Raw genomic sequence first — 23,183 nt, 5'->3', positions numbered from 1 at the left:
TTTGTGCAAATTGGAGCTCTTTTACTGCATACTCTTTTTGTAGTGTAGTAGAATCACACTGGTATTCTAAGTTATTTTAATTTTGTTTTCAGTTAAGGGCCAGGAAATGTGAAATATTTGATTGGGAAAATAAAATATTGCTGACTTTATCTTACTTTACATTTTAAAAAAGCCTTAATAGTGAATTTGGAATCCTTATGTTGATGATGTGCAAATCATACTTTAAATATTCATCTTCTAAAGTTACTGATTTAATAAAAATTTGTATTTTTTTCTTACTATGCTGTAACATTATCTCTTATTAAACTAAGAGATTAAATATATTTATGTCAAAATCAAGTATTCTTCCTTTTATATTTATTTGGTTTCTAGAATGTTGGCAGTAAAATTTTTTTCTTTAATTACGATATGGAGTCTCCTTTGATTTACTGGTAGGCATTGGAAAAAAGAGAAACACAGTGTATATCAGTCATAACTGGCAACGATGATTCCCACCAGCAGTTCTCATCCTTTCACCCATAAAATCAGCATAAAATTGACCTAACATTGCCAGATCAGATTGAGTATCTGGAAAGTAATCCTCAGGGAACAGAAAATTCAGTCTTTGTGCATAAAGTTGTTGAATCGGATTATTTTTTTCAGAGCCCTTTTGTTTCTTCCTTTGCAGTACTTCTGAAAAGTTGCTACAAAGATGTGTCAGATGTGGTCTAAATCTAATCACATAGGCAGTAACTAAGTTAATCCATTTCAAAATATGGATGCACATGATTATAATAATTTTTTGCGTGCTGAAGGGTAAAATTCATTTAATGAAAAGAGCTGGGATATTTTCTACTTTGTGCTTAAACCAATAGATGCAGTTTTCATGTACTTATTTGTTCTCTCTCCGAAAAAACAGAGTATACAGAAAAAAAATGGTAGTGAGGAAAAGTCAGGCAGCAAAACATATTTAGGTAAATGCTACAAACAGCAAGGGCAAACTGTAAGCTATTCAATAACATAAGTATACTTATTTAAGACATAGTTGTAAGAAAGTTGTCACAAACATCTTCTCAAATAGTAATTACAAAGTTGAGGTTACTTAAAAGGGAGATTTTAAATATTCACATTGAAACCCTGTAATTTCATTATTCATGAGAAAGAACTGTTCTGTATTTCTGCATGAGGATTTGTTTATGTAGCTGTTAGTAATTGTATTACTTTATGAAGATAAAAACTTTCATTTAATATTTTATGAAAACTCTGTCATATGCCTTTGTTTTATGAGATTCAAATTTTAGCAGCTACCATTTTGGTAAAACTGCCATATAAATATATGTCTATTTTTTTTAATTGGGAATATAATTATCCACAAGATATTTATGTTTGAGTGTTTTTAGGTGATGTGTAATGCATTCCACATTCATTTTAGAAATGTATGCATTTTGTTTTACATGAGGATATAATCATTTAATATTACCTTCATAAATTTGTAATGTATTATTCTTATATAAGATGTTTTAAATTATTGATTTTTATTATTTATATGGAAACTTTTTAGTCCTTAATAAATAAAAAGTTTAATTGTCGAAAGCTTACTTTTTTCTTTTTAATTTAAAATACCTGAAAAAAATTCTGTGGAACTTAAGTATAAACACAAGAGGAGCCAGCTCATGCTAAAAATGTTGCTAGACATTTATTGAGTTTTATAATTAAAAATTTTGAAATATATATGTATCCTTAGGTTGTGTTTTTTAGAAAATGGTATGAAATATTGGAAATAATGGAATCAAGCTGTAAGTTTTCACTGATTGGTACATGAAGTGTTATCTTTGATCCACAAGTCCTTTTACTTGGCGTGGAGTTCAAACCCTGTCATATGGGTGGTACTTGTTACACACATTAGTCTTATCTTGGGCTTTCAAGTTTTGTTTTTTTTTTGCCCAGAAGAAATAATCCATTATACACTATCCCTTTAAAACACATTTGAAGTATTCAGAAGTTTATTTTTGACAGAATTAAACAATAAGTATATGGCTAAAATATTTATTAGTGCTTACTAAACTAAGATCTTAGCATTTTAGTGTGCTAAGTAGAAGAGAAATACTGTGAGAAACAAAGAAAATGAAAAACTGGTGTGAATATTTATAAACAATATTGATTTATATATATTAATTACTAGATAAAACATGCTAGAAAAATTTCTGTGAAATGCCCTGCAAATATCAATTGTATTTTAAATGAACTGCTTTATATCTACTTACCAACTTATCTATTACTGCAAATATGAGATTTAAAAACTGATATAAGGCAAATATTATTACAGTTTTTGTAAATCTTAATTGGAATTTTAAATGGATATTTAAGGTGTATTTTGGTCTAGTCTCTGAGAGCTATAATATATTTTATTACATACTTGATACATTTGTATTTTTCTTTTCAAAGGAATACCAGTATTTTAAAAGTGTAGTTAAAATAGAAAATTCAGAGTTTAAAATCTTAAAATCTAAAGTATGTCAATAAAAAGTGAGTTGCTAAAAGAAATACAGTAATGATTTTTAATAACCTGACCAAGTTATTAATATCATTTATTTCTATTTTGAAGGTCATTACATTTCTTAAAAAATCAAAATATTTAATTATAGAAAGGAAGAGAAGTGAATGTCATCAACTATAAATGTTTAAAGAAAAATTTAAATGTTGTAATTAAAGTAGCTTTGACAATTTTAAGAGTGTTTAACCAAGACTGTTCCTTTAAATGTGTTCTTTTGCTGCTGTTTAATTATACATGTCAATTATTTACAGATCCTGTGGTATTGTGGAAATTCCCAGAGGACTTTGGAGACCAGGTTGGTACCACATAATTTTTTAAAAAATTTAAAGTTGAAGTATTATGATTGTTGCTACTATTACTGCTGCTGTTGCTAGTATAACTACTAGTGAACATGGATTGCTAAAATTATTTTCTCTTGATCAACTGTGAGACAAAAATGCATGTGTGCGGAATATATGGAAGAATCTTTTAAAGTTACCAAGTAGATGGGTGATGAAGGAGTCCTTATATTGAAACTCATAGGAGCTAGATGTTTAAACTTTCAACTTATTTTATACTTGTTTAATTTATCTATAGACTATATATTTGAAAACATTAAAAACAATAAAAAGTTGACAATATGAAATCTTTGTTAAATATACTCTTATTCTTTCTGTGTACTTAGAAGTAAGCGTTACTGCCATAAATAAGTGATCAGTTCTCTCCTTGTCACAGTAGTATCTGAGTCATTTACATATAGAAGTTGAATTATCACTTTTTTTATTTTAAAATAGTTCTTACCTATAGCTTTACTTTCTTTAAAAAATATGGCATGCAAGACTACTGGATGAATTTATTCCATTTGCATTTTATGTTATAGTCTTCTGTAGTTCCTCAAATATTTAGTATGACCAAAATGATGCAGTAGTTTTACATGATATATGTAAATAGAAAAATCATTTAAACTTTATGTTATAGATTTATCATTTTGATGTTGCTTTATATGTAATATATGGTAAATAATACAGATTTAAGGATTTTTTTGCCAATTTTTTGCTTTTTAAAAATTGATAAGGCTGGGTACAGTGGCTCACGCCTGTAATCCTAGCACTTTGGGAGGCTGAGGCGGGCAGATCATGAGGTCAGGAGTTCGAGACCAGCCTGACTAACATGGTGAAACCTCGTCTCTGCTAAAAATACAAAACAGCCGTGTGTGGTGGCGTGCGCCTGTAATCTCAGCTACTTGGGAGGCTGAGGCAGGAGAATCACTTGAACCTGGGAAGTGGAGGTTGCAGTGAGCCGAGATCGTGCCTGGGCAACCAATGTGAGACTCCGTCCCAAAAAAAAAAAAAAGATATATAATTATACATATATATGGGTGATATTTATTATTGGTGTATATGTATATAATATATGTATATATTATATGCATATAATATATTATATAATATATTATATATTATATATAACAATAGTTATATATAATATATTATAATAATATAATATAATATATTATATATAATATATTATATATAATATATTATAATATAATAATATTATAATATAATATAATAATATAATATAATTATTTTTTTTTTAATTTTTTTTTTTTATTATACTCTAAGTTTTAGAGTACATGTGCACATTGTGCAGGTTAGTTACATATGTATACATGTGCCATGCTGGTGCGCTGCACCCACTAACGTGTCATCTAGCATTAGGTATATCTCCCAATGCTATCCCTCCCCCCTCCCCCGACCCCACCACAGTCCCCAGAGTGTGATATTCCCCTTCCTGTGTCCATGTGATCTCATTGTTCAATTCCCACCTATGAGTGAGAATATGCGGTGTTTGGTTTTTTGTTCTTGCGATAGTTTACTGAGAATGATGGTTTCCAATTTCATCCACGTCCCTACAAAGGACATGAACTCATCATTTTTTATGGCTGCATAGTATTCCATGGTGTATATGTGCCACATTTTCTTAATCCAGTCTATCATTGTTGGACATTTGGGTTGGTTCCAAGTCTTTGCTATTGTGAATAGTGCCGCAATAAACATACGTGTGCATGTGTCTTTTTAGCAGCATGATTTATAGTCCTTTGGGTATATACCCAGTAATGGGATGGCTGGGTCAAATGGTATTTCTAGTTCTAGATCCCTGAGGAATCGCCACACTGACTTCCACAATGGTTGAACTAGTTTACAGTCCCACCAACAGTGTAAAAGTGTTCCTATTTCTCCACATCCTCTCCAGCACCTGTTGTTTCCTGACTTTTTAATGATTGCCATTCTAACTGGTGTGAGATGATATCTCATAGTGGTTTTGATTTGCATTTCTCTGATGGCCAGTGATGATGAGCATTTCTTCATGTGTTTTTTGGCTGCATAAATGTCTTCTTTTGAGAAGTGTCTGTTCATGTCCTTCGCCCACTTTTTGATGGGGTTGTTTGTTTTTTTCTTGTAAATTTGTTTGAGTTCATTGTAGATTCTGGATATTAGCCCTTTGTCAGATGAGTAGGTTGCGAAAATTTTCTCCCATGTTGTAGGTTGCCTGTTCACTCTGATGGTAGTTTCTTTTGCTGTGCAGAAGCTCTTGAGTTTAATTAGATCCCATTTGTCAATTTTGGCTTTTGTTGCCATTGCTTTTGGTGTTTTGGACATGAAGTCCTTGCCCACTCCTATGTCCTGAATGGTAATGCCTAGGTTTTCTTCTAGGGTTTTTATGGTTTTAGGTCTAACGTTTAAATCTTTAATCCATCTTGAATTGATTTTTGTATAAGGTGTAAGGAAGGGATCCAGTTTCAGCTTTCTACATATGGCTAGCCAGTTTTCCCAGCACCATTTATTAAATAGGGAATCCTTTCCCCATTGCTTGTTTTTCTCAGGTTTGTCAAAGATCAGATAGTTGTAGATATGCGGCATTATTTCTGAGGGCTCTGTTCTGTTCCATTGATCTATATCTCTGTTTTGGTACCAGTACCATGCTGTTTTGGTTACTGTAGCCTTGTAGTATAGTTTGAAGTCAGGTAGTGTGATGCCTCCAGCTTTGTTCTTTTGGCTTAGGATTGACTTGGCGATGCGGGCTCTTTTTTGGTTCCATATGAACTTTAGAGTAGTTTTTTCCAATTCTGTGAAGAAAGTCATTGGTAGCTTGATGGGGATGGCATTGAATCTGTAAATTACCTTGGGCAGTATGGCCATTTTCACGATATTGATTCTTCCTACCCATGAGCATGGAATGTTCTTCCATTTGTTTGTGTCCTCTTTTATTTCCTTGAGCAGTGGTTTGTAGTTCTCCTTGAAGAGGTCCTTCACATCCTTTGTAAGTTGGATTCCTAGGTATTTTATTCTCTTTGAAGCAATTGTGAATGGGAGTTCACTCATGATTTGGCTCTCTGTTTGTCTGTTGTTGGTGTATAAGAATGCTTGTGATTTTTGTACATTGATTTTGTATCCTGAGACTTTGCTGAAGTTGCTTATCAGCTTAAGGAGATTTTGGGCTGAGACGATGGGGTTTTCTAGATAAACAATCATGTCGTCTGCAAACAGGGACAATTTGACTTCCTCTTTTCCTAATTGAATACCCTTTATTTCCTTCTGCTGCCTGATTGCCCTGGCCAGAACTTCCAACACTATGTTGAATAGGAGCGGTGAGAGAGGGCATCCCTGTCTTGTGCCAGTTTTCAAAGGGAATGCTTCCAGTTTTTGCCCATTCAGTATGATATTGGCTGTGGGTTTGTCATAGATAGCTCTTATTATTTTGAAATACGTCCCATCAATACCTAATTTATTGAGAGTTTTTAGCATGAAGGGTTGTTGAATTTTGTCAAAGGCTTTTTCTGCATCTATTGAGATAATCATGTGGTTTTTGTCTTTGGCTGTGTTTATATGCTGGATTACATTTATTGATTTGCGTATATTGAACCAGCCTTGCATCCCAGGGATGAAGCCCACTTGATCATGGTGGATAAGCTTTTTGATGTGCTGCTGGATTCGGTTTGCCAGTATTTTATTGAGGATTTTTGCATCAGTGTTCATCAAGGATATTGGTCTAAAATTCTCTTTTTTGGTTGTGTCTCTGCCCGGCTTTGGTATCAGAATGATGCTGGCCTCATAAAATGAGTTAGGGAGGATTCCCTCTTTTTCTATTGATTGGAATAGTTTCAGAAGGAATGGTACCAGTTCCTCCTTGTACCTCTGGTAGAATTCGGCTGTGAATCCATCTGGTCCTGGACTCTTTTTGGTTGGTAAACTATTGATTATTGCCACAATTTCAGAGCCTGTTATTGGTCTATTCAGAGATTCAACTTCTTCCTGGTTTAGTCTTGGGAGAGTGTATGTGTCGAGGAATGTATCCATTTCTTCTAGATTTTCTAGTTTATTTGCGTAGAGGTGTTTGTAGTATTCTCTGATGGTAGTTTGTATTTCTGTGGGATCGGTGGTGATATCCCCTTTATCATTTTTTATTGTGTCTATTTGATTCTTCTCTCTTTTTTTCTTTATTAGTCTTGCTAGCGGTCTATCAATTTTGTTGATCCTTTCAAAAAAACCAGCTCCTGGATTCATTGATTTTTTGAAGGGTTTTTTGTGTCTCTATTTCCTTCAGTTCTGCTCTGATTTTAGTTATTTCTTGCCTTCTGCTAGCTTTTGAATGTGTTTGCTCTTGCTTTTCTAGTTCTTTTAATTGTGATGTTAGGGTGTCAATTTTGGATCTTTCCTGCTTTCTCTTGTAGGCATTTAGTGCTATAAATTTCCCTCTACACACTGCTTTGAATGCGTCCCAGAGATTCTGGTATGTGGTGTCTTTGTTCTCGTTGGTTTCAAAGAACATCTTTATTTCTGCCTTCATTTCGTTATGTACCCAGTAGTCATTCAGGAGCAGGTTGTTGAGTTTCCATGTAGTTGAGCGGCTTTGAGTGAGATTCTTAATCTTGAGTTCTAGTTTGATTGCACTGTGGTCTGAGAGATAGTTTGTTATAATTTCTGTTCTTTTACATTTGCTGAGGAGAGCTTTACTTCCAACTATGTGGTCAATTTTGGAATAGGTGTGGTGTGGTGCTGAAAAAAATGTATATTCTGTTGATTTGGGGTGGAGAGTTCTGTAGATGTCTATTAGGTCTGCTTGGTGCAGAGCTGAGTTCAATTCCTGGGTATCCTTGTTGACTTTCTGTCTCGTTGATCTGTCTAATGTTGACAGTGGGGTGTTAAAGTCTCCCATTATTAATGTGTGGGAGTCTAAGTCTCTTTGTAGGTCACTCAGGACTTGCTTTATGAATCTGGGTGCTCCTGTATTGGGTGCATAAATATTTAGGATAGTTAGCTCCTCTTGTTGAATTGATCCCTTTACCATTATGTAATGGCCTTCTTTGTCTCTTTTGATCTTTGTTGGTTTAAAGTCTGTTTTATCAGAGACTAGGATTGCAACCCCTGCCTTTTTTTGTTTTCCATTGGCTTGGTAGATCTTCCGCCATCCTTTTATTTTGAGCCTATGTGTGTCTCTGCACGTGAGATGGGTTTCCTGAATACAGCACACTGATGGGTGTTGACTCTTTATCCAACTTGCCAGTCTGTGTCTTTTAATTGCAGAATTTAGTCCATTTATATTTAAAGTTAATATTGTTATGTGTGAATTTGATCCTGTCATTATGATGTTAGCTGGTGATTTTGCTCATTAGTTGATGCAGTTTCTTCCTAGTCTCGATGGTCTTTACATTTTGGCATGATTTTGCAGCGGCTGGTACCGGTTGTTCCTTTCCATGTTTAGCGCTTCCTTCAGGAGCTCTTTTAGGGCAGGCCTGGTGGTGACAAAATCTCTCAGCATTTGCTTGTCTATAAAGTATTTTATTTCTCCTTCACTTATGAAGCTTAGTTTGGCTGGATATGAAATTCTGGATTGAAAATTCTTTTCTTTAAGAATGTTGAATATTGGCCCCCACTCTCTTCTGGCTTGTAGGGTTTCTGCCGAGAGATCCGCTGTTAGTCTGATGGGCTTCCCTTTGAGGGTAACCCGACCTTTCTCTCTGGCTGCCCTTAACATTTTTTCCTTCATTTCAACTTTGGTGAATCTGACAATTATGTGTCTTGGAGTTGCTCTTCTCGAGGAGTATCTTTGTGGCGTTCTCTGAATTTCCTGAATCTGAACGTTGGCCTGCCTTGCTAGATTGGGGAAGTTCTCCTGGATAATATCCTGCAGAGTGTTTTCCAACTTGGTTCCATTCTCCCCATCACTTTCAGGTACACCAATCAGACGTAGATTTGGTCTTTTCACATAGTCCCATATTTCTTGGAGGCTTTGCTCATTTCTTTTTATTCTTTTTTCTCTAAACTTCCCTTCTCGCTTCATTTCATTCATTTCATCTTCCATTGCTGATACCCTTTCTTCCAGTTGATTGCATCGGCTCCTGAGGCTTCTGCATTCTTCACGTAGTTCTCGAGCCTTGGTTTTCAGCTCCATCAGCTCCTTTAAGCACTTCTCTGTATTGGTTATTCTAGTTATACATTCTTCTAAATTTTTTTCAAAGTTTTCAACTTCTTTGCCTTTGGTTTGAATGTCCTCCCGTAGCTCAGAGTAATTTGATCGTCTGAAGCCTTCTTCTCTCAGCTCGTCAAAATCATTCTCCATCCAGCTTTGTTCTGTTGCTGGTGAGGAACTGCGTTCCTTTGGAGGAGGAGAGGCGCTCTGCGTTTTAGAGTTTCCAGTTTTTCTGTTCTGTTTTTTCCCCATCTTTGTGGTTTTATCTACTTTTGGTCTTTGATGATGGTGATGTACAGATGGGTTTTCGGTGTAGATGTCCTTTCTGGTTGTTAGTTTTCCTTCTAACAGACAGGACCCTCAGCTGCAGGTCTGTTGGAATACCCTGCTGTGTGAGGTGTCAGTGTGCCCCTGCTGGGGGGTGCCTCCCAGTTAGGCTGCTCGGGGGTCAGGGGTCAGGGACCCACTTGAGGAGGCAGTCTGCCCGTTCTCAGATCTCCAGCTGCGTGCTGGGAGAACCACTGCTCTCTTCAAAGCTGTCAGACAGGGACACTTAAGTCTGCAGAGGTTACTGCTGTCTTTTTGTTTGTCTGTGCCCTGCCCCCAGAGGTGGAGCCTACAGAGGCAGGCAGGCCTCCTTGAGCTGTGGTGGGCTCCACCCAGTTCGAGCTTCCCGGCTGCTTTGTTTACCTAAGCAAGCCTGGGCAATGGCGGGCGCCCCTCCCCCAGCCTCGTTGCCGCCTTGCAGTTTGATCTCAGACTGCTGTGCTAGCAATCAGCGCGATTCCGTGGGCGTAGGACCCTCTGAGCCAGGTGTGGGATATAGTCTCGTGGTGCGCCGTTTCTTAAGCCGGTCTGAAAAGCGCAATATTCGGGTGGGAGTGACCTGATTTTCCGGGTGCGGCCGTCACCCCTTTCTTTGACTTGGAAAGGGAACTCCCTGACCCCTTGCGCTTCCCAGGTGAGGCAATGCCTCGCCCTGCTTCGGCTCGCGCACGGTGCGCACACACACTGGCCTGCGCCCACTGTCTGGCACTCCCTAGTGAGATGAACCCGGTACCTCAGATGGAAATGCAGAAATCACCCGTCTTCTGCGTCGCTCACGCTGGGAGCTGTAGACCGGAGCTGTTCCTATTCGGCCATCTTGGCTCCTCCCTCTGATTTTAATATAATAATTATATTATATTATATTATATTATTATATTATATATGTATATAATATATGTATATTATATAATATATGTATTATATTATATATGTATATATATGTATATAATATATGTATATAAATATATGCATATAATTACACATATATATGGGTGATAATGATATAGATATTATACATATATGTGATATTTTGATACATGTATACAATATGTAATGATCAAATCAGGGTAATCAGCATATCCATCACCTCAAACTTTTATCATTTCTTTCACTGGGATTATTCAAAATCTGCTCTTCTAGCTATTTGAAAATATGTGATAAATTCTTGTTAATTATAATCACCCTACAGTGTTATAGAACACTAGAACACCATTCCTCCTATCTATCTAGCTGTCATTTTGGATCCATTAACTAACCTCTGGCTATCAGCCCCAAGCCCCTGCCTGCCCTTCTCAGCCTCTAGTAACCACTATTCTACTCTACTTCTATGAGATCAATTTTTTAAGCTTCCAATATGAGTGAGAACATGAGACATCTGTCTTTCTGTGCCTGACTTATTTCACTTAACATAATATCCTCCAAGCCCATCTGTGTTGCCATGAATGACAGGATTTTGTTCTTTTTTTATAGTTGAATAGTATTCCATTTTGTATGTATACCATATTTTTTAATCCATTCATTTGTTTATGGACACTTAGGTTGATTCCATATCTTGGCTCTTGTGTTGCAATAAACATGTATCTCTTTGGTATACTGATTTTCTTTCGTTTGGATATATACCCAGTAGTGGGATTGCTGGATCATATGATAGTTCTGTTTTTAGTTTTTTGAGGAACTTCCATACTATTTTTTATATAATTGCTATGCTAATTTACATTCCCACCAACAGTGTGTGGAGTTCCCCTTTCTCTGCCTCCTTGCCAGCATTTGTTAGTTTTTGTCTCTTTGATGATAACTATTGTAACTGGGGTGAGATGATAACTCTTTGTGGTTTTGATTTGCATTTCCCTGATGATTAGTGATGCTGAGATTGTTTGATGTGCCTGTTGGCCATTTTTATGTCTTTTCTTGAGAGATGTCTATTCAGCTCATTTGCCCATTTTAAAATTGTATTGTTTGTGTTTTTGCTGTTGTTTGAGTTCCTTGTATATTCTGGATCTTAATAATTTGTCAGATGATTAGTTTACGTATACATTCTCCCATTCTGTTGGTTGTCTCTTCAGTCTGTTGGTTGTTCCTTTGGCTGTGCCGAAGCTTTTTAGTTTGATATAATCTCATTTGTCTATTTCTGCTTCTGTTGCCTGTGCTTTTAAGGTTTTCTTTATGAAATCTTTGCCCAACGCAACATCCTGAAGTGTTTATCCTATGTTTTGTCCTACTAGCTTCACGCATTATTCCAGGTTTTATATTATACAAATTTAAGTTTTGATAGAAATAAGTACTTTTTGCTGGATGCCTGATGAGCAGGTTCCTTTCTTATGTCTTCAAATAAATGGGATAAGACAGTCTTGTCACTGTTAAATTCAGAATACACAAACTTAGCTATAATTTAAGTCCACAGATGGAGTTCTCACCATTTGCAAACATGAAAGCTGATAAAAGTATGTGTTTAAAGCAGTTCATTCAGAAATAAGCCTACAGACATGTGATTTTGAATAAACATGAAAGAATACTTTTTTAGATGTGAAAGTCAATCTGACTTAGAAATTACACTCAAAAAGTCTGATAAATGGGCGTGATAAATATTAATTACGTCTAGTACAACCTTTGACCATGGTTTCACATAAAAAGAGGGTATAGAATTATAATTTGATTTTAGCTTTTTAGATTTATAAATATCTTAAGTATGTAAAAGAACTCCCTACAGTGAAGACATGACTTGGGAATAAGAAGTTTGCGTTTGTTCTCAAATAGCTTGTAGTTAGACTAGAGCCTTGCTCACTCATTTTACCATTCCAATATATATATATATATATTTTAGTCTTCTCAATTCTGTCTTGTCTGTTCAACCAATTACAAACCTCCTATTCCTGTTCAGGTCTTTTTTTTTTTTTTTTAAATTTCTACCTTTTACTTTATAAACTGCCTCTGAGCATTTTTAGGGGTTCTGAAGACTGCTAACTTTGGGTTCACATGAGAGTGATAATGTACTTGTCAGGTCCAGCTTGGATTTTTTTCATTTGGGGCTTAATTGTTGTTCTGTTTCTGAAATTGTGAGATCACTGGGACATCAATAAGCCCTCATATGCTTAGTGAAATACAGAAGCGCTTAACCATGTAATGGTGGTGAACATTCATAACTCTTAGGATTCTAGTTTACAACAATTCTTATAGCCTTCTTGAAGGTTAGAGCTGAAAGGAACTTTAGATACCATTTTGTGTATCTATGTCATTTTACATCTAAAGAAATCAAGCTTTACATGGGAATCTAGTCAAGGGCCTTGAATAATTGTTTTGCTATATACTTTTTAGGGAATTTATTGAATTGTACAGAAGAGACAAGTACTCTGTGTATATTTCTTAACCCTTTTCCCTTTTACTGCTTTTCTCTACCAACTGCATTCTCCTTAACTAGCCTTTTCTCTGGATGTGCGGCTACCTCAGTAATTATAATCTTAAAAAGCTCTTTGTTTCACTCTTACCATGCACTGGGCACTATACTAGGTGCTTTATGTGCATACTTCATTTTATTTTTAAATCCTCCCAGGGCTAATAGGAGATAGTATTATACCTGAACTGAGTCTTAAGTAAGAAACTTACCTGAGGTCACAGTGCTTGTAAGAGGCAGAGCTAAGATTTGAAGACATGTTTGTCTGACTCAAAAGCGTTTACTCTTAAATTTTTAGCTTTATTTTTTTTTTTCTGCTTGGAATGTTGTCTCAAACTTACCTCACTTATTTTAGCTCCCTTAAAAAAGATTATTGTAATAATTTTTCTCTTGGTATCTTTAGAATTTAAAAGCAATATGTAATTTAGTCCAAAGAAATAATATCAATCCATTTTTCATAACATGGAGTTGTTAGTACCCGTAGGCACTGGTTTATTATACGCTTCTCGCAGTATGTTTTCCTTCTTTTGGCAATTGAGGAACCAGTGGGACAACTGACATGGCATTTCAGGAGCTTTGATTATATATTTTTTCTTTTTTTGATACAGTGGAGGGTTTTGTACAGGAGAGTATTGGGAGATAAAACTATAAAAGTAAATGAGCTAGGTTTTGGCACAGTTTGCCTTGCTAAAGAGTTGGTCCTTCAAGTGGGAGAGATTTCAGTATGGATTGGTTTTGGTAGAAACTAGAGGCGAGGAAATTAGTTTGGTAGTTATTTTAGTAGTTCAGTGAAAAGTAAGAAGGATCTGAAATAGTCAGTTACATTAGGAATGGAAAAGAGTATAAGTGTGAGGGAAAAAAGAGATTGCATGAAAACAATTTTTATTTTTTATTGATTGATTGAGGCAGTTTCTTAACCTGTTGCACAGGCTGGAGTGCAGTAGTGCCCTCATGACTGGCTCCCAGACTGAAGCGATCCTCCCATCTCAACCTCAAGCAATCCTCCCACCCCAGCCACCAAAGTGGCTAGGACTACAGGCATGTACCACCACTTCTGGCTAATGTTTTTTATTTTTTGTAGAGATGGGGTCTCACCCTATTGCCCAGGCTGGTCGTGAACTCCTGGGTTCAAGTGATTTTTTCCACCTTGGTCTCCCAGAGTCCTGGGATTACAGGCATGAGTCTGACCAAAAAGTTTATTTTTGAGGGACTGGAGAGAGATGGAGAAAACTAAAGAAGAGAGGATGAGTTTGATTTTTATCATTTCAAGAAATGTTGAACAATTTTCTATGTGAGTGAAGAGAGGAGGCATCAGAGATTTGAAAAGAATGGAGAATGTTTGCAACCTAAGAAAATAAAAAAGTGTGAATATTCAAATTTGAGAATTGCCAGAGGTAGGAATAACTTTGTTATTGTAGGCAAAAAAATTAATCAGTAAGCCAGGGAAGCAAACCCATCAAAATTGATTGAAGTTTATTTTAACAATTTTTGTAGCTTCTTTTTAGAATCAGATATTATCAAACAAGACAAAAATCACATTTTATTCCCTTGTGTGCTCATGTTCAAGACCAAACACTTTAAGACATCTCAGAGGTCTGCAAAGTCAAAATGATGATGATGAAAAGTAATACCATAATCATTTATGGTATTTGTGTTAACATCCAACAGATTCATGATTGCTATTATATGGATCCATACCTCTTAAAAAATGTTTCAAGTTTAATTTCTAATATAATACATTTCAATAGTTATACATGAACAACAGCTCTCCAGGGTCCCTAATAAGTCCCAATAAAGAAAAGGAGTATAGAGGTGTTTTTTTTTTGTTCTTTCTTTCTTTTTTCTTTTTTTTGTAAAAGCAAAGCTGAAGTGGGCCGAGTGCTGTGGCTCACGTGTATAATCCCAGCACTTTGGAGGCCTAGGCAGGCAGATCACTTGAAGTCAGGAGTTTGAGACCAACCTGGCCAACTGGTGAAACCCTGTCTCTACTAAAAACAAAACAATTAGCCGGGCCTGGTGGTGCAGGCCTGTAATCCCAGCTACTTGGGAGACTGAGGCAGGAGAATTACTTGAACCAGGGAGGCGGAGGTTGCAGTGAGCTGAGATGCTGCTACTGCACTCCAGCCCAGGCGACAGAGTGAGACCCTATCTCAAAAATAAAAACAAAACAACAAAAAAAGCAAAGCTGAAGTGAACTGCTGATTTAGGGCAAAATAATTCTTTCTCTTTAAAAAACAAAAGTATATACTCAGTTGTTTCTTTGACACTGTTGCCCCTAGTTTAGTCTTAAACACTCATAGTATTATAATTACAACTTTTAATCTAAGTAACTAATGTCTTACAGGAAAACAACAACAACAACAACACTTGAGGGGTAGATGATTGAGAACTTTCAGTCATACACAAGCATTTTAACAGACTGCCAGAGCTGCCCATATCTCTTTTATGTTTTAGTAAAATAGGAAAAGTGAACACATTTGTTAACATAACTCAATTGCCTTTTGATGGCATACAAAAATAAGAAGAAAAAGTATATAGACAAATTGTGCTTAGTAATTAATGTTTTAGCATTCTGAGGAATTATCCATTGATTAAGTCAATTTAATATCAATTCCACATTTTGGTTACCTAAAGATTTTGGAAATTATATTCAAGTAGATGTACTACATAATATAATCACTGCTGACATAAAGTTTTCCAGAATAGTGATTAAGTTTGGTTAAATAGAAATTTACATGTTATATAACCTTAACGTGTCATAGTTGCTTATTAGTTCAATAACTTGTATACATTTGGAAAAAACATACCCAAGTAGAATAAAATGTGTACTTGCTCTGTCCTTAACATTATTAAATCAGAGAAGACATGGCTATTTTTATTAAGCCAAAGTTATAAAACTTGAGTTTTCTAAAGATTTACCTTAATAATGTGAATTTGAATCCTCTAATAATTATTTTGAAAGTCTAGCTCATTTGAAATATTAGAAGTTCAACTTCCTATTTTATAGATGTTTTGGGAATATTCTGTTTGTGTACATTTCTCTCTAGAAGTTAGTCAGAACAGTGTCTTTAATTTATGAGGCTTTATAATCTACTTTATTGATAGACTCCAGAGATAGGGAAACATTTCATACTAACACAAGAGCAAAGGTCTTTATGAAATATAGACATACGGTCTCACAAGCATCAATATTTTTGGTGGTGTTTTTAGTTATACTGTGTATAATAAACAGAGTGAATAGATATGTAGAAAAATTGTAAGAATTATAAAAGTAATGCTATATTTTTAAGGTATTTTAAGTTATATTTTTGATTGTTACTCTTAAATTAGAGATGAAAAATTTTACCAAATTTTAAACAAATGAACATAGCCTAGGCAATTAGCATGTAGCTCTAGTTGTCTTAAGAATTTAAAATTACTCGTAGAGTACTTTGAAAGGTGCTTGTCTGGCACAATAAAGCTGTAAAGAAGACGATGTGGTTCTTGCCCTCCAGAAGTCTGTTAGGAGAAGGAAGATTGGACTGGGAATCAGATGTGAGCTGTTCTGGCTTTTCTCCTTTTTCTTTCTTCTTTCTTCTTCTATCTTCTTTCTTAAAAAAAAAAAGCCGGGGAAGGGGGGGATACAAGTACAGAACCTGCAGGTTTGTTACATAGGCATACATGTGCCAGGGTGGTTTGCTGCATCTATTCACCTGTCCGCTAAGTTCCTTCCCCTCACCCCTGGCCCCCGAATGGGCCCTGGTGTGTGTTGTCCCCCTTTCTGTATCCATGTATTCTCATTGTTCAACTCCCACTTATAAGTGAGAAAATACGGTGTTTGGTTTTCTGTTCCTGTGTTAGTTTGCTGAGGAAGATGGCTTCCAGCTTCATCCATGTCCCTGCAAAGGACATTATCTCATTCCTTTGTATGGCAGTATAGTATTCCATGGTGTATATGTACCACATTTTCTTTATCCAGTCTATCATTGATGGGCATTTGGGTTGGTTCCATGTCTTTGCTATTGTAAATAGTGCTGCAACAAACAAATGTGTACGTGTGTCTTTATAGTAGAATGATTTATATTCCTTTGGGTATATGCTTAGTAGTGGGATTGCTGGGTCAAATGGTTATTTCTGGTTCTAGATCCTTGAGGAATCACCACACTGTCTTCTACAATGGTTGAACTAATTTACATTCCCACCAACAAAGCATTCCTGTTTCTCCACAGCCTCGCCAGCATCTATTGTTTCCTGACTTTTTAATAATTACCATGCTGACTGTCGTGAGATGGTATCCCATTGTGGTTTTGATTTGCATTTCTGTGGTGATCAGTGATGTTAAGCTTTTTCTCGTTTGTTGGCTGCATAAATGTCTTCTTTTGAGTAGTGTCTGTTGATATCCTTTGCCTACTTTTTGATGGGGTTGTTTTTTCTTGTAAATTTGTTTAAGTTCCTTGTAAATTCTGGATATTAGACGTTTGCCAGATAGGTGGATTGCAAAAATTTTCTCCCATTCTGTAGGTTGCCTGTTCATTCTGATGATAGTTTCTTTTTCTGTTAGTTTAATTACATCTCATTTATCAATTTTGGCTTTTGTTGAAGTTGTTTTTGTCATGAAGTCTTTGCCCATGTCTGTGTCCTGAATGATATTGCCTAGGTTTTCTTCTAGAGTTTTTATGGTTTTTGGTTTTACATTTAAATCTTTAATCCATCTTGAGTTAATTTTTGTATAAGGTGTAAGGCAGTGGTCCAGTTTCAGTTTTCTGCATATGGCTAGCCAGTTTTCCTAGCTCCTGAATAGGAGATCCTTTCCCCATTGCTTGTTTTTGTCAGGTTTGCCAAAGATCAGATGGTTGTAGGTGTGTGGTGTTATTTCTGAGGTCTCTTTTCTGTTCCATTGGTCTATATGTTTGTTTTGGTACCAGTACCATGCTGTTTTGGTTACTGTAGCCTTGTAATACAGTCTGAAGTCAGGTAGCGTGATGCCTCCAACTTTGTTCTTTTTACTTAGGGTTTTACTTTTTACTTGGCTCTATGGAGTCTCCTTTGATTCCGTATGAAATTTAAAATAGTTTTTTTCTAATTCTATGAAGAATTTAATGGTAGTTTGATGGAAATAACATTGAATCTATAAATTACTTTGGACAGTATGGCCATCTTCATGATATTGATTCTTCCTATTCATGAGGATGGAATGCTTTTCCGTTTGTTTGTGTCCTCTCTTATTTCCTTGAGCAGTGGTTTGTAGTTCTCCTTGAAGAGGTCCTTCACGTCCCTTGTTAGCTGTATTCCTGAGTATTTTATTCTCTTTGTAGTGATTGTGAATGGGAGTTCATTCATGATTTATTTGGTTCTCTGCTTGGTTATTTCTAGTTTATTTGCATAGAGGTGTTTATATTATTCTCTGATGGTAGTTTGTAAAGGAATACTTTGTGATATTTGCACATTGATTTTGTATCCTGAGACTTTGCTGAAGTTGCTTATCAGTTTAAGGAGTTTTTAGGCTGAGATGATGGGGTTTTCTAAATATAAAATCATGTTGTCTGTAAACAGACACAGTAGTTTGACTTCCTCTCTTCCTATTTGAGTTCCCTTTATTTCTTTGTCTTGCCTGATTGCCCTGGCCAGAACATCCAATACTGTGTTGAATAGGAGTAGTGAGAGAGGGCATCCTTGTCTTGTACCAGTTTTCAAAGGGAATGTTTCCAGCTTTTGCCCATTCAGTGATATTAGCTGTGGGTTTGTCATAAATAACTCTTATTATTTTGGAATATGTTTCATCAATATTTATTTTATTGAGAGTTTTTAACCTGAAGGGATGTCAAATTTTATCAAAGGCCTTTTCTGCATCTATTGAAATAATCGTGTGGTTTTTGTTTTTGGCTCCATTTATGTGATGGATTACATTTATTGATTTGCATATGTTGAACCAGCCTTGCATCCCAGGGATGAAGCTCACTTGATCATGGTGGATGTTTTATGATGTGCTGCTGGATTCGATTTGCCAGTATTTTTTGAGGATTTTTCGCATTGGTGTTCATTGGGGATATTGGCCTGAAGTTTTCCCTTTTTTTGTGTGTCTCTTCCTGATTTTGGTATCAGGATTATGCTGGCTTCATTAAATGAGTTAGGGAGGTGTCCCTCCTTTTCAGTTATTTGAAATAGTTTCAGAAGGAATGGTACCAGCTCCTCTTTGTATTTCTGGTAGAATTCAGCTGTGAATCCATCTGGTCCTGGGCTTTTTTTGGTTGGTAGGCTATTAATTACTGCCTCAATTTCAGAACTTGTTATTGGTGTATTCAGGGATTCGACTTCTTCGTGGTTTAGTCCTGGGAGTGTGTATGTGTCCAGGAATTTATCCATTTCTTCTAGATTTTCTAGTTTATTTGCATAGAGGTGTTTATATTATTCTCTGATGGTAGTTTGTATTTCTGTGGGATCAGTGGTGATATCCCCATTATCATTTTTCATTGTGTCTGTATGATTCTTCTCCCTTCTTTATTAGTCTAGCTAATGGTCTGTTTTGTTAATTTAAAGAAAAAAACAGCTTCTGGGTTCATTGATTTTTTTTTTTTGGTGAGTTTTTCATGTGTCTATCTCCTTCAATTCTTCTCTGATCTTAGTTATTTCTTGTCTTCTGCTAGCTTTTGGATTAGTTTGATCTTGCTTCTCTAGCTCTTTTAATTGTGATGTTAGGGCATCAATTTGAGATCTTTCTAGCTTTCTGATGTGGCCATTTAGTGCTATAAATTTTCCTCTTAACACTGCTTTCGCTATGTACCAGAGATTCTGGTATGTTGTCTCTTTGTTCTCATTGGTTTCAAAGAACTTCTTGATTTCTGCCTGATTCATTATGTACCCAGGAGTCATTCAGGAGCAGGTTGTTCAATTTCCATGTAATTGTGGGGTTTCGAGTGAATGTCTTAATCTTGAGTTCTAATTTGATTGCACTGTGGTCTGAGAGACTGTTTTGATTTCTGTTCTTTTGCATTTGCTGAGGAATGTTTTACTTCCAATTATGTGGTCAATTTTAGAATAAGTGTGATGTGGCACTGAGAAGAATGTATATTCTGTTGATTTGGGGTAGACAGTTCTGTAGACATCTACCAGGTCCACTTGATCCAGAGCTGAGTTCACATCCTGAACATCCTTGTTAATTTTCTGTCTTGTTGATCTGTCTAATACTGACAGTGGGGTATTAAAGTCTCCCACTATTATTGTGTGGGAGTCTAAGTCTCTTTGTAGGTCTCTAAGAACTTGTTGTATGAATCTGGGTGCTCCTATATTGGGTGCATATATATTTAGAATAGTTAACTCTTCTTGTTGAATTGTTCCCTTTACCATTATGTAATGCCCTTCTTTGTCTTTTTTGATCTTTGTTGGTTTAAAGTCTATTTTGTCAGAGACTAGGACTACAATCCCTGCTTTTTTTTCTTTCCATTTGCTTGGTAAATTTTCCTCCATCCCTTTATTTTGATCCTATATGTATCTTTGCATGTGAGATGGGTCTCCTGAATATAGCACACCAGTGGGTCTTGACTATCCAATTTGTGTTCTGGCTCTACTTCTAATTGGAGTGCAAGACTGAGATTCATGAGGAAATGCTGGTGTTTAGGAGGAGTACATAGAAGGTGATCTTTAAGCCTTATTTTTTGATCACTGAGTTTTGTCCTTTAGTTGGTCCTCTTTTTAGGGTGAGAGTGGAGGACACTGCCATATAGTTCAGATAATTGAGTGTGATACCCTATTGTAGCAGAAAGACAGAATGATGAAATTAATTCATGATTTGAAGTTGTAGTAGAGTGATAGAGATGTTGGAATGTTGTTTCTTTTATTTAATTGAAGATTTACATAAATTTTTGGTAATATAGACATGAGTTTGAATCCTAACCCTGTCAGTTATATGGGTTTTGCCATAAAAAAAAATCCCCTGCTATCAGTGACATGATAGTTCACAGGATTCATTGTAGGAGTTAAGGTCTGTCTGAAGCACTGTGGAAGATATTCAGCAAATGAGAGGGCATGGTCAGACTTCCTTCACACACTATCCCTGTCTTCTTAGGTTTTGTTTCTTTTCCTTTTTTTTTTTTTTTTGTGGAATTTCTGTTTTTACTTTTCCATTCTGTTTCTTCTTTTGTGTGGTCCAGTTCTGTTAATTAAAACTCAGTTTGAAAATTAATCCTTCTTTGAAGGCTTTCCTGAGCCTCCAAGGCAACCTGTCTGTACTTCCGTAGCTTCTTATATGTACCTCTAATTTTAACTATATTTTCATTTTTTTTTTTTTTGCATGTCTCTGTCTCTCCTAGGCTGTATGTATGTTTCTTGAAGGAAAAGGGGCAGAACTTTCTCATTTTTCAATCTCCACATCTAGTAGAGTGGCTGGAACATAAGATATGAATAAGTGTTTTTGAACGGCTAGTTGAATGAGTGACAAGTCAGAGGAAGTTGAATAAACTCATGATAACTTATCTTAATTTTCTTGGAAAAATAATAGGCAAGGTAATTTAAGAAGGATGGATTTAAGAGTGGTGTTTCACCTTAAATTTGGAAAGATTTCAAACTGGTGTTATGACACATATCGTAGGAATTCAACAAAGTTTGAATGAAATGATGTAACTTAGCAGAGGGGTTAGGTAGCATGAAGATTTAATAGGTCCTTGACTGTTCATGATAGTACCTGACTTGTTTGTTCTCTCCTCTGTCCCTCATTTCTGTAGGAGGTGAAATTAAATTTCAGTATATACTGACAACCTAGTATGTGCTTCCATGATAAATAATGAAAATGCATTAAGAAATGCTTTTAGAAAAGTGCATATGTTACATGATTATTTTAAATTATAACAATAATAAAAATTCCATTAATTAATCAAATCTTGGTAGAAATTATCTGGAAACAGTTTAAAGTATAACTGTAAGAATGAATAGTAGTAAAAATTATGTATTATACAAAAACAGCAGAGAATTTTAAATTTTACCCTTCAGCTGCATCTTCATAGGAATGAATGGCAGGCAGCCAGCTACTTAGCTGACATTAAATCCAGTCTACTCAGTACTATATACAGTTTTGTTTTTATATTTAATAATGACTAATGGGTCATTATTGAATATAAAAAGGATGGGTCATTATTGAATAAAAAAAGGATGCAGGTAGGAGTTAAGGTCTGCATAGTTTAGGAAGAATGCCTGTTTTATTAGTAAACAATTTTTTTATACATTCATAATTTAAAAAATTTTGTATTATTTAAAAGGTATTTGGTAGGAATGATTAGTTTTTCATTATTTGAAATTGAGACACATTGAGTATTCTATAATTTTGCTTCTTGCATCATCATAAAGAAGATATAAATTATTCAGAAATAATTTATTAAATTCTAATACTCTGAAAATAAATATTTAAATGATCGTGGATTTCTAAAAATTGGATATTTTTTGGTTGTTTGGGCTTGATTCTGTCATTTTTAACTACCAGTCAATTACATGAGACAGAAATAATTTCATTGCATTCTATATCAACTATTGTTTTTTCAAATGTAAAGAATGAAATGTCTTGAACCAATTTTTGATATGTAATAGTAAATTCCCTATAAATGTTATATATAAACTCCTTTTTCTAACCCTGTGAATATTATATATAAACTCGTATTTCTAAAACAAATTGATTTCTTAATGTTTAATTAAATAAAAATTTATAAATTTTGTAGAGATGATGGGTAAATGTAAGATAATTATAATTATATTATGGCTGTTTACTTGGTTTCATATTCCAAAAATTTTATTAGTTATATATTTCAGTAATGCTAAAATAGCAATTATTTCCTATCGGCTTCTTTGTACATACAACCACTATAGTGGTATAACCACTATACCAATATACTATTGGTATATTCTTATGACTAAAAAAGATGAATCAGAACGAAACATTATAAGGGGCAAACGTGGAAAAATGTATAAAAGTAAATCTAAAATCATCATCATAAACATATCTTTGTATCTATCTATCTTATGTAGACTAGATTTTTATTTCTTTAGCAGGCGCAGTTTAGGAAGCTCAAGGCAAAACATAATCACATTCTTATTTTACCTGCATGCTTATTTTATATTCTCTACTGCTAAAATTTTAAAATTTTAATGCAAACAGGGAAACTAATTTGGAAAAACATAGTGATATTTTATGAACTTTGCTTTATAGTTGAAGTATTTGCTGGAATATTTCATCTAGCAGACTCCCATTGAAAAGAATATTTTTGCGTACATTTTAGATAATAAAATTGTATTTGAAAACCCCTGTACAAATGACCTTATTTTTCTGTTGAAGGGTGAACAGATTTTTACTTTAATGAGTTCTTAGAGGTGAGGTTTTTATATCTATTTTTATGGCAGTGAAATTTACATTCTAACTATATAAATGATTCAAGCCAGACCTGGAAGGTCTGATGTTATGCAGCAATCTATAGAAATTAAATAATGATAAATGATTCTGATTGAAAGAAATAAATCTGGTTT

At 35.0% G+C, this 23,183-nt stretch overlaps 1 protein-coding gene across 16 annotated transcripts in view; it reads left to right on the top strand.

Annotated features, from left to right (window-relative positions):
* DENND1B (DENN domain containing 1B) overlaps nucleotides 1–23,183 on the top strand; it is a 277,403-nt gene that overhangs the window by 64,292 nt on the left and 189,928 nt on the right. For all 16 annotated transcript variants that reach the window (NR_125340.2, XM_011509248.3, XM_047447711.1 and 13 more), the window contains one exon: nucleotides 2,785–2,828. Coding sequence is in view for 13 of the 16 variants with exons in the window: in XM_011509248.3 (XP_011507550.1) it covers nucleotides 2,785–2,828 (44 nt within the window). In the remaining 3 variants the exon portion in view is untranslated. The remainder of the gene's footprint in view (nucleotides 1–2,784; nucleotides 2,829–23,183) is intronic.

This window comes from Homo sapiens, chromosome 1, assembly GCF_000001405.40.
Source record: "Homo sapiens chromosome 1, GRCh38.p14 Primary Assembly".
Lineage (NCBI taxonomy): Eukaryota > Metazoa > Chordata > Mammalia > Primates > Hominidae > Homo > Homo sapiens.
This window is presented reverse-complemented; position numbering and strand designations above follow the sequence as displayed.